The sequence below is a fragment of the Homo sapiens genome, chromosome 18, assembly GCF_000001405.40.
Source record: "Homo sapiens chromosome 18, GRCh38.p14 Primary Assembly".
Taxonomy (NCBI): domain Eukaryota; kingdom Metazoa; phylum Chordata; class Mammalia; order Primates; family Hominidae; genus Homo; species Homo sapiens.
This window is the reverse complement of record NC_000018.10, coordinates 46,310,101-46,322,263: the sequence shown is the minus strand read 5'-3', so window position 1 is coordinate 46,322,263 and position 12,163 is coordinate 46,310,101. Positions and strand designations below refer to the sequence as shown.

General features: G+C 48.3%; 1 annotated feature.

Moving 5' to 3' along the window:
• Nucleotides 10,139-10,772: an enhancer, noted in NCBI's record as "H3K4me1 hESC enhancer chr18:43891455-43892088 (GRCh37/hg19 assembly coordinates)". NCBI's record gives its function as "activates a minimal SCP1, AML or CMV promoter by ChIP-STARR-seq in primed H9 embryonic stem cells {active_cell/tissue: H9 hESC(primed)}" and the evidence as "EXISTENCE:reporter gene assay evidence [ECO:0000049][PMID:30033119]".

Below are 12,163 nucleotides of genomic sequence, written 5' to 3'. Positions count from 1 at the left end.
TCAGGAAACACAGGCACAGCCCTCCTTAGCATAGTTACTGAGGCTGCTGAATTTCCCTCTCTTTTGTCCGTCCCTCTCTCCCTTCCTGGGTCCCCTGCCCTCCAGTGAAATCTGAGAGCGTGCCTCTCTGGGTAGTCACAGTGCCTTGAGTCAAACACCTCAGACTCTAAAGATAGAGTTTCAGGTTTGGGTCAGGCAGAAGGGGTAGATTTGAGAGGCCTTCAGAGTCCCAGGAAAGACAACTGCTGATTTATAAGACTGGTCCTGGGGACTTGAAGGAGAGAGGCCAAGGGCAGAAGCAGGGCCTCTATGGGTCCAAAGAGGGGTGGGAAGAGGTCAGAGGTCATCCAGACCTCCTGGGAATGTCACCCTGCAAGGCAGATGTGGTCCAGGCTTCAGCCAACAATGTGTTCAGGCTGCATCATTAGAGATGAATTGATGGTTGATTACCAATAATAACCTCTCCAAAGCAAAGCCAGATGAGGAATGAATTTAATGAAGAGGGAAATGAGCTGACAGTGGCTTCATGGGGGGCCTTGGATCAGGGACTTTCAAAACCAGAAGGGTGAAATTTGAGCCTGACTGTTTCATTTTGTTTTATTGGTAATGGCAAAACACACATAACATAAAATGTATCATTTTAACCATTTTAAGTGTACAGTCACATCAAGGACATTCACATTAAGTACATTAGCAATGTTGCATAACCACCACCACAATTTCCAGAACTTTCATCATTCCAAACAGAAACCCCCAATCCATGAAGCACCCCATTCTCCACTTCCCCAGTCCCAGGTAACCTCTAATCTACTTTCTATCAATGTGCCTGTTCTAGGTACTTCCTGTAAGTGGACTCATAAAATATTTGTGGTTTTATGTCTGGCTGATTTCTTGGCATTATATCTTCAAAGTTCATCCACGTCATAGCATGTGTCAGAATTTCATTCCTTTTTAATGGCTGAATATCATCCCATTGTGTGTATATACCCACTTGGTTTGTTCATCCACTGATAAACACTCAGGATGTTTCTACCTTTCGCTATTGTGAATAGTACTACATAATAACTGAGGTACAAATACCTGTTTAAGTCCCAGTATCCTGTGCTTTTGGCTATATGTCTAGAAGAGGAATTGCTGAGTCATATGGGAATTCTATGTTTAACTTTTTGAGAAACCTCCAAACAGTTTTCCTGAGCCTTGCTCTTAAATCCTGGTAAAATATCACCCCCATTGTGCAGCGTTCAGTCCCCAGCTCTCTCCCCTTCTCCTAAGTCAAAATCCACCTAGCCCTCCTTTGTGCTCCAAGGCCACCTGTGCACATGATGAATGCAGCTCCTATCACTTGGCCTCTGGTCATCTGCTTACTGGTGTCCATGCTACAAGGGCCCTGGAGGCAGGGACAGCGTCTTGTCTGGTCTCACATCCCGGAGCCTAGTGCAGTGGTTGCTCATGGTAGGCCCCATAAATGATGACATGAACCCACATTAGTTTGAATGGGTGATCTGTTGCTCACTCACTCACTCCTTAGCTGTCTGATTGACCAACACAGCACTTCTCCCTGTTCTCTGCCAAATTACACCCTTTTCTTCTTGGCTGCAAAAGGGGTGCTCATGACCTGTCTACCTGTGAAGTGCTTAAGTGTAGGGTAAAGGATTTGATGCTCACTAGCCAAGTTGCCATGAGAAAGTTTTCTAAGCTCTCAGAGCCTTAGTGTCTTCATCTGCACAGTGGGGTTAATACCATTACCTACCACAGGAGGCTGGTGTGCACGTGAAGTGATATGTGCTTATCACAGTGCTTGGCCACGGCAGCGCTCCGCATGTGTTCACTAGCAGTCAGAGCATCAGGAGGACCCTGCTTCATCTCTTTCTTGTTGATGCCTCCCACATCTTCCAAGTTTGGTTTTGGATTTCAAATCCAGAACCTAAGTCAGTACCTGGCACACAGTAGGGACTCAATAAATATTGAATGAATAAATTGCTAGTTTATCTTCAACTCCAGTGAGCCATAGCTTTCTTTCCGGAGGCCAGAACAATTTGAGACCAGTAACATGGTCTGGGAGTGTTATTAGTCAGGCTGTTTTCACCTGTAATGAAGAGAAAATATTATTAATGGAGGCTTAAACCACTAGTTCATTTATTATTGACTTGGCACGTCCTGCAGTGGGAGTAAGTATGATATTAGATGAGTTCAGAGGCTCAACAATGTAATCAAGGCTCCATGCTCTTTTCATCTTTTCACTCCTTTAACCACAGTATATGGGCTTCAATTTTCTAGTTTATTGCCTCATGGTTGCAAGATGACTGCCCAGCTCATGAATCATACCCTCACATCATAGCATCCAAACAAGAGGGAAAGAAAGAGAGGAAAGGCTTCTCTGTGTCTCTCTTTTTTATCAGAAAGGAAAATTTTCCCTAGAAATTGCACCACACACCACACCATTCCCTAGCCTATAGGCATATCCCATTTGCCAGACCTGGGTGACATACTCATACCAGTGGGGGTCTGGAGGTCTAGTCTCTGCAGAAGATAAAGCCAGGAGTCCTTGGCAAAGAATGAATCAGTGCCCTGACCCCCACCAAGGTCTCCATAACTCAGCCTTCAAAACACTGGCACCAGACTTTTCTCCTTCAGACAGGACATCAGAAGATAACTCCCCAGGCATTTCACCACCCAAAAGGAAAAACCTGAAGACACAGACCCAGGAGTTTCCCAACAAAGGGCCCATCAGGATCACCTTACACTGAAACTCAAAGTTGACGTGCCTCACTTACCTACTCAGAGTTTCCAATTAGTATTTTGTTTCCTTCCCATCCACCACTACATTTAATTACAAGGAGATGACCAAGGGTTATCGGACTTCCTAGAAAAGCCTCTAATAAGGAAGACAGAGACCACACAACCTGGAAGCAGCAGAGATGATGCAGGAAGAAGAAGAAGAAAAAAGTGCTTAAAGATCATTAATATCTCTAGAGAAATAAGAGAAGATGTCACATACGAAGAACAGAATGTTATTTTAAAAAGAACATTGAGAGAACAAAAAAAAAAGAGTTCTTGGAAATCAAAAACATGAGAGCAGGCACATGAAATTCAATAGAAGAGGTGGAAGATTAACTTGGGGAAATCTCCCAGAAAGTAGAACAAAGAGTCAAAGACATGGAAAGCCCAAGAGGAGCTCTAGCAGGAGAAACAGGAGAGAGCGAGAGAACACACAAAACAGAGATGATGAAATCCTTCTCAAAATACTTCCAGAATATTTCCCGATCTGGAAGAATATGAGTTACAGAACTGTTGTGAAAATGAGTTCTTCTGGGTCTTCATCTCTTGCATGCACCAGGATTCAAGGAGAATTTCACAGCATCCCACATTAAGTAGTAAGAAATGGCCTTTACTGGAGAAAGAGAAGACAAGGCCCAGGGTTGTAACAAGGGCCATGAAGACAAGGGATGGGAACCCCCGAGTCTACCCTCATTCCACAGAGGGTGCTGCTGGGATGCAGTGTCATTCTGGTTCCAGGAAAGGACCCCATCCTCACTGTGGATTCCACTTTTATATCCCCTTTTACAGGCAACGGTAAGAAAATTGCCTTGTCTTGAGAGTAACAATAGGCTTCTAGGCATCGGGCAGTCTGGATCCAGGGTACTTGATGTTTGTCGTTGTTGGTAACCAGCTGCCCAGCATCTGGAGGCCCTGGAGTCTGCAGGAACTTGTAGGCCCAGGCGCCCACTCGGGGACAAGGTTGGGGAAGGAAGATGTTGGTTCTGCTGAGCTCCTCCTACTGAGAGATGGGAACTTGGAGCCCAGCAGGCTTATGTCTAGGCAACCCAGAACAGGCTCAAGGGTCTTTTTAATAATTCTGCTCTCTGCACCATGAACACTGAGTGGCCCACTGAGCTTCCAGCACAGTGGCTGAAAACAGTTCCACTCCAATGCCTACCACTGGGAATTTTTGGAACACCGAGGACAAGGAGAAGATCCTATCAACTTCCGGGGAGAAAAGCACAGGTTACACATGAGGGGTCAGTGATGCCAATAGACTTCAACGTCTCAGCCTCCATACCGGCAGAGAAAAGGATGAAGCAAGACCCTCAATAGTCTAAAGAAACATAATTTCCACCCCAAAATTCTATATCCACACAAATTGTCAGTCAGGTGGGAGAAGATGTTATTCAGTCACGCAAAGTCTCCAAAAATTATCACCCCAATCCTTTCTTAGAGAGCTACTAGAAGTTATTCACCATTAAAACCAAGGAGGAGGATGCAGGGATCAAAATATACATTAAAGAAAAGCCAAGAGAATTTCCAGGAGGGTAGTACAGGGACACTCAAAAGGGGCAGTAGGCAGCCAGTCCAGACCAGTGCAGTCATTATTATGACTCTGCTGCTATGCCATAGTGTTAGCCAGATGATATGCTTCCAAAGAAAGAGAGTAAACCAAGGAAGAGAATGCCATGAGATCCAGGACACAGAGGCTCCAACTCAGAGGAAAGGCAAAGGGAATTTTAAGAGTGACAACAAAAGGAAGTCACAGGTTGACAACTGGATGGTAGGCCTAGAGAAGAGCGAATTCAGATTGGTGGAAAATGAGGTCTCCAGTAGGGACAACTCCAAGAAAAAACTGGAAATAACAGGTTACTTTCTATGATTGACTTTATGGAAAAGTATATGGTGGGAAGAATATGCAATGGGTACAAAGAAAGCTAAGCAAATGAAAACAACAAAACAATTATTAACTTTGGGAAAAACAAAAGCAAAAAAAGAAAACAACATGTATTACAATACATAGCTGTGAATAAATTTTGCAAAGGCATAATAGCCCAGACTGAATGTTGATTTAAGCAAAAATTGTAAAATAGCCATATCGGAAGGATGAGGGAGAGAAAGGAGAGAAGAGAGAGAAGATTCTTTTGTAAGACCACTAAACCTCATCTATCACAATAAGAAATCAATAGGTAAGACCTACGATTAAGGAATCAAAAGATACCAGCATAGGCATATTCTTCAAACATGTAGAAGTGAGTAATTTCCAGAAGAAACAATGAAGTTTAGTACTTGCCTTTAAGGAAGAAGTGGGATAGTAGGGAAGAGTGGTGCTGGGAACTGTCACATTATATCATAACCCGCTTAGTACTATTTGGCTTTTTCATTCTTTTGTTTTTTTGAGATAGGATCTCCTCTGTTTTCTAGGCTGGAGTGTAGTGGCACAATCATGGCTCACTGAAGCCTCAACATCCTGCGCTCAGGTGATCCTCCCACGTCAGCCTCCCAAGTAGCTGGGACCACAGGTGCATAGGGGTCTCACTATGTTGCCCAGGCTGGCCTTGAACTCCTGGGCTCAAGTGATCCTTTCGCCTCAGCCTCACAAAGTGTGAGCCACTGTACCCAGACTATTTGGATTTTTTAAATGGGTGTAGATATCATCCTGATTTTTATAATTAACTAAACGATTTAAAGTACAGCAATATTGAAAGGCAATGACTGAAATTTTTTCAATGTCTGATTTGATTGACTGATGAGCACTGTTCAAAGACTCATGAATTTGCTCTTACTTAGTAGTTTTGGGTCTGTGCTTCTCCCCAGAGGGGTGAATATTTCCAAGGTATACAATAAGCATTTGTGGACTGAAGTAATGAATCAACAAATGAACCAACAAGCTACAACCACCAAAGTCTAAGCATAATGTACTTATGGTCCATTATAGTGGAGCCCAGGAAGTCCCTTTCTCTCTAGGAGGTCTTGTGGTCCCAATTCCAGAACAAGGGACAGCTAACCCCAAGGCACAGATGCCTGTGTTTATAGGGCCTTGATCTTGGTTAGTTGGACTTCTTTGGTAGAAAGAAACCAAGCCTTACCTAGACTACCTTAAGAAAGTATAATGTACTTATAAGAACCCAGTAGGCATTGTTGTTGTGTGGACAGAAGCCATCTGTTAGGGACTTGGATTAGTCAGCGTTCTCCAGAGAAAAGCAACCACTAGGATAGAGAGAGATATATCAGAGGGGATTTATTATGGGAATTGGTTCACGTGGTTATGGAGGCCGAGAAGCCCCACGATCTGCCATCTGCAAGATAGAGAACAGGGAAGCTGGTGGTGGAATTCCACTGGAGTCCACAATCTAGAGAACCTGAGGAACTGATGGTATCACTCTCAGTCAGAGGCCAAAGGCCTAAGAACTTGGGCTCTGGGAAGTACCAGGGTCTGAAGATCTGAGAACCTGGAGTTCTGATGTCCAAGGGCAGGAGAAGATGAGTATCCCAGCCACAGAAGAGAGAGCAAGTGTGCCCTTCCTGTGCCTTCTCATTCTATTCAGCCCTTCAGCCAATTGGACAATGCCCTCCCATGTGGCGAGGGTGTTCTCTACTGTGTCCACTGACTCAAATTGCAATCCCTTCCAGAAACACCCTCACAGATGCACCTAGAAATAATGTTCACCAGCTACCTGGGCAGCCCTTAGCCTAGTCAAGTTGTCACCTGAAATTAACCATCACAGGGACCAAGGCAGGGGATGCTGCCCAAGATCCAGTGGGCTCTCTGTAGGGGATGGTGGGGCCCAGGAAGTCCCTTTTCTCTCTAGGAGGTCTTGTGGTCCCAATTCCAGAACAGGGAACAACAAACACCACGGCACAGATCCCTGTGTTTATAGGACCTTGATCTTGGTTAGCTGGACTTCTTTGGTAGAAAGAAACCAAGCCTTACCTAGACCACCTTAAGAAAGGCGAAAGTGCTGGGCAGGAAACTGGGCCAGACAGGACAAACTGGGAAAGCCACTCCAGGCCACCCTGGGGACCTGCCCCTCTCTAGGGTCATGCCTTCCTGCATGCTCTTCTCTGCTCCTCTAGGGGAAGTGGACAGTGCTGAACAGCCTTGCTCTGCCTGGGGGAATTTCCAGCCGTATGAGTCCCTCCTCCCCACTGCTGAGCTCAGAAACCTCACCTCTGCAGCCTCCTTGCAACAACACCCTAAGCAGGTGACCTAGATTGCACCATTTAGTCTCACCCCAACAGGCTTTGACCAAACATGGGCACCTGAAGAAGAAAGTACCACAGGGCAGAGGCACCAGCTTGGGACAGTGGCCCTGGCTTCCTCTGTGGCATGGTGTGGGCTATCCTGCCTGGTAGCTGCGCCTGCAGCCTGGCTCCCAGCCTGCCAAATGATTGTGTGGCTCTTGGTTTAGGTTCTCCCAGCAGCAGACACTGATTCAAATATTCAAGTGTAAGGATTTATTTGAGAGGAGATGCCAGAAGACAATGGTAGGAGACAAGGGAAGGAAGGGAAGATAGGAGAAGGGAAGGAAGCTAACAAAGTTATCAAATGTGGCAGATTGTTTCATAGTTGTGACTTCTCCCATTGCAGTATCCTCAATTCTTGTTAAAGAACTTGATCGCCCTTCCCATCCAGAGGTGGAGTATATTTCTCCACCCCTTGAATCTGGCCAGTCTTGAAGACTCATTTTGGCCAACAGAATATGGTAGAATTGGCATTGAGTGTGTTCTGGAACCTAGGCCTGAAGAAGCCCTGCCACTTTTGCCTGGGCCTTCTCGGAATGCTGCCCTGAGACCGTCATATAAGGAAGCCGGTCTAGCCTCATGCAGGATGAGAGATCACGTTGAGGGGAACCAAGGCACCCAGCCACCCACCAGATGTGTGAGTGAGCCCGTCTTGGGCCTTCTGTCCTGGCCAGCCTCCAGCTGAACGCAGCTGCATGCATGAGCCTGGGCAAACCCAGCAGAAGACCCACCAGCTAACCCAGACAATCATGAGAAACAATTCATCATTATTACCTTAGGCCACAGCATTTTAGGATGATTTGTTCCATAGCAAAAGCTAACTGTTATTTTAAGCCAGTTACCACTGAGGGCAACCAGAGCCCAATCCTGCAGGGGAACTCTGGGAGACAGTGTAGACCAGGCCTCAGTGTTACCTCGATCAAGGGAAGGGAGAGCTGGGGTACTTATTCACCACCTCCCCGCCCGTCATTGGTTGAGAGCTGCTCCACAGGCATTAGCTCCAGCACTTCCAGTTTGCCCCACACACAGGCCAAGCATGTTCCCCACGTCCAGTGAGCTGTGCATTGTCACAGTAAGCCGACTTCAGGGTGTGGCGGTGAATGCAAGGGCTCTGGCCATAGCACTAACAGGGCCTTCTCCAGTGCGTAGCCCAGAGCCCTTTGCAGAACCTTCTTTTCCATTAATTAAACTAGAGTCAATGCCTGTCAGTTGCCTCCTGGAACCCTGGCAGGTGAATGTATTTCTCCATTGCAGTCCTTCCTGGCTACCAGCTGACTTGGCCCCTCTCTATTCTGCGGTCCATTTTCCACAGTGGATTGGCTTTGCCAACCTCCATTTCCCCAGACGGCAGTGTTCTTTCAGCCAGGTGGTCACTAAGTGGCCTGCACATGGGCTGCCTGCAGCCGGGAGCCTGGTTGGGCCAAAGTTCAGTCGCACCCAGGGTCATGGAGAGTGTACAGGCACCATGGCCGATCTGCCCAGTGAGGTGGGGGAGAGGCATTCGTGTCTGGATTCCTGCCCCTGCCCCATCTCACTGTGGGTCTTTGCCCATTGTTCCTCAATTCAGAACCTTGGGGACATGGAGCTCTCCATCTGCAGTGGGGGTTCCTGGTACCCAAAAGTACTTGCCCTTCCTTCAGGTTCCCCACGACACCCCTAAACCCCCTAATGCCACATAGAATTGAGATGCATGCCTGTACTCCAAACTGGAACCTGACATGCATTTTCCCACATACGTCACGCTCTAAATGGTGACCAAGCGCAGTTAACGTTGCATTGCTAATGATAAACTCCAGGAACACTATGAGTTAAATAGGAATTTGTGGACTGGCCTGAAAAACCAACCACCATTTATAACTTGGTTTCTATGGGGAAATGCATTATGAGTTCCAAACAACTGGCTCACATAGAGATTTCTGGAACACAGCCTGGTCGACACGTTGGGAACTGTAGGTGGCTTCTCCGTATACCCAATTAACATGGTCATTGTAGGCAGTTAACGGTGGGCTCTCGCTCCAGGCTTGGCGAGCCCTGAAGAAAGGTGTGGGATACTCCAGGCAACCTCGTGGAGTACTCTACTCCTTCCTTCTGGAAGCTGGAAGTGACCTCGGAGCTGAGGGGGACGCGAAAGGCCACCTTGCTCTCCAGGATAACATTCCTGACTGGCTCTCCTTATATGCTTCCAAGCCCAAGGACCTTGCTGCCTCACAGAGATTATGGGGCCACCTGTCACTATCCAACAATTCTTTCTCTACTAGGCTGAAATCTACACTTCTCTTTCTAACCCCCCCTACCCCAATTCCACCCTTCAAACCTTGCTCAAGCATTAACTTCTCTGTGAAGCCCTTCAGCTGCTGTAACAAACAAGCCACAAGTGTTTCAAATTAGATCTCCTTATTAAATACTGGATATTCCTGGCTGGCAGGCAGGCAGCATTTCCCACCTGGTAAGTTAGGGTCCTCAGCTCCTGCTAACCTGCCAGCCTCCCCTGGGCAGGTGGGAAGGAGAACAGAGAGAAGGCATACATGCTTCTCAACAGCCAACATATCTTATCTTGGAAGTGACCCAGTATTACTACTCAGTGTCATTGGCAAGAACCAGTCACATGGAAAAGTAATGATCATCACTCTTATTTGGTAGGCATTCAGTGTGTGCCTGGCTTTGTCCTGAGAACTTGACGCTGTTAACTCTATTAGCCCTCTTTCACCCTAGGATTGAGTTCTATTGTCATGCACTATATTACAGACAGGGACGTTGACACCCTGAAGTTAAGTGACTTGCCCAAGGTCAGAACTAGGATGTGCGGGAGCTAGGCTGCAAATGCGCATACTCCGGCTGCAGAGCTGGAACATACTGGAACAAACTGCCCTGCTTGGGACACGTAAGAGGTCTTCAGTCTTGAGCACTGTATTTATTGTAAAGACATACAGCACCCTTCCATTCAAGGGAAGGAGGAGAGGAAAGGGAGCATGAAGACTAGTGGCTTCTTCAAGGCTGGAGAGGAGAGGAAAGGCTCCCCTAGAAATTAAGGGAGCCTGAACCCTAACTTGGATGATGGCCTGGGTCCCTCGCTTCCCGGGTGAGAAAGCAGCATTCATGGGGCAGTGTGGGTCTAAGGGCTGTGGGCTCACCTCACCACCACCTGGGTGCACCCCTGTCAGCCACTTGTTGCCAGAGGGTGGCACAGCAGCTGTGCCCGAGCACCCCCCAACCCCACACCCAACTTCTGCTCTCTGCAGCCAAGAGGCTCTGAGACAGGAGAGGGGAGGCCGACCGGGGCCAAAGACCCCAGTGGGCTTTTCTGCAGGGACCTGCAGCAAATCCCCAGCCTCTATCCCCTTCCTCCTTCTCCTCCTCCTCCTCCTCCTCCTCCGCCACATCCCACAGCATGATCCAGACCAGCTCCAGACCAGAGGCCCCTCACCCACCCACAAGGCTCCTCCTTTCCAACCAGTGGCCCCTGGGTGGCTGAGAGACCAGGGCTGGGGAAGAAGACTGGAGGAGTGTGGGCCCCACTGTTAGGTTGGGGGACAGGTGTGGGCTTAGGCTGAGACGGTGAAGGCAGACAGAGTAGGCAGGAAAGTGTTTAGGGGCCAGGCCCGGGATTTTCTTTGTCACCTCCCCCAAGAGCTCTGAGCAAGGAGCACCATGATCCGATTTGCTTGTTAGATCAGGCTGGCAGCAGGTAAGAAAAGTGAGGCTCTGAGGTCTTAAGAGGCTACTAAGATATTAAAATATACATGATAGGAAGATATGAGATTTGAGCCTCCCTTTTTATGTGTCCAGTGGCCCTGTAGTTGCAACTCTGTCACAGGGACTCAAGAAAGCTATCTGGTCTCTAGCCCTGTAAAGGCTGCAGCTCCCAGCTGTCACTTCATGAACACTCTATCCTTAGTCTGGCTCCCAGCATCTTCCAGTTGCTCCCTTCCTTGGCTTACCACACCCTTAATTTCAGGGTGCCCTGCATGAGCCCCTTATCCCCTGGACCAGTCCTCACCACCAGGCAGAGGAAGAGCTTTGGGCAACAAGTCTCTAACAAGGACTCAGGCCTAGGGCGGGCGGAGGGGACAGGTGCCTGGAGGATAGGCAGCATTCCCCTGCCCTCTGAAGGAGAGCGTGACGGAAGATGAAAGCTCCCCGGCAATGGGACCAGTGTGTACTGAGTGACACAGATGAGGGGCACAGACAGAGTCCAAACAGAGAGAGGACAAAGTGTGCCAGGCGTATGGGGGCTTCGGGGAGGAGGGTGACTTGAGCTTCAGCTCTGATTTGAAATGCAACAGGACAACACTCTCCCCTCTGTCCCCGCCTCCATGGGTGAGTCTCCTGGTGGAAAGATCCCAGCATCACCCTCCCCCTGCTCTCAGCACTTCAAAACAGGGACCCATGCTGAAGGAGAGGCCCAGGCCCAGCTCTGCCACCCTCCCCATTCAGGGGCCTGCAGTGGCATCTGGAGCCAGGGGATTTTTCATCAGCTTTTGCTCAGTAGGTAGCTCCCAGCTCTAACCTTCCCCTTTGAAATCTGCATGTCATTCACTTTTTCACCTACTCCACACGCACAGGCCTGGGCCCACCTGCACACCACCCACCCCCAAACCTCACAGTCTTTGTGCCCCACCCCAGGGTGAGCATGACACAGATGCTGCAGTTGCCAGCCTCTCCCTCGGGAACCTTCCTCCAAGGGCCCCTATTCTCCCTGCCTACTTCAGGTCTCTTCACATAAGCCTTTGGTTAGCGGACCATAGCAAGTCACCTGACCTCTCAAGGCCTGCATTTCCTCATCCAGGAAGTGGGATCATCATACCTACAGCTCAAATTGTTGTGAGAGGCACAGTGCCCAGCAAATGCCAGGACCTCCTGGGAGTGTGCACCCACTCCCTTCACCCAGCGGACAGATCTAGACATGAGCGCCTGAATCCCTGCCATCAAAAGGATTCAAATCTCTAGTGTCTTCTCTCAAGGTAAAGTCATGGCAGGGCTTGTCCTGATAAATATGATCTGGATTCCAGAAGGCATTGGTGGGAGCATGGGAGGGCACAGAGCCCTTCACAGAGCTTTAAAGCAAACCGGGTTTCCAGGTAACGCCACTTGCTCCATCGTGTCTGTAATCCACTCTCACCTGTGCAGGAAAGTTTTCATTTTCCCGTATGATTTT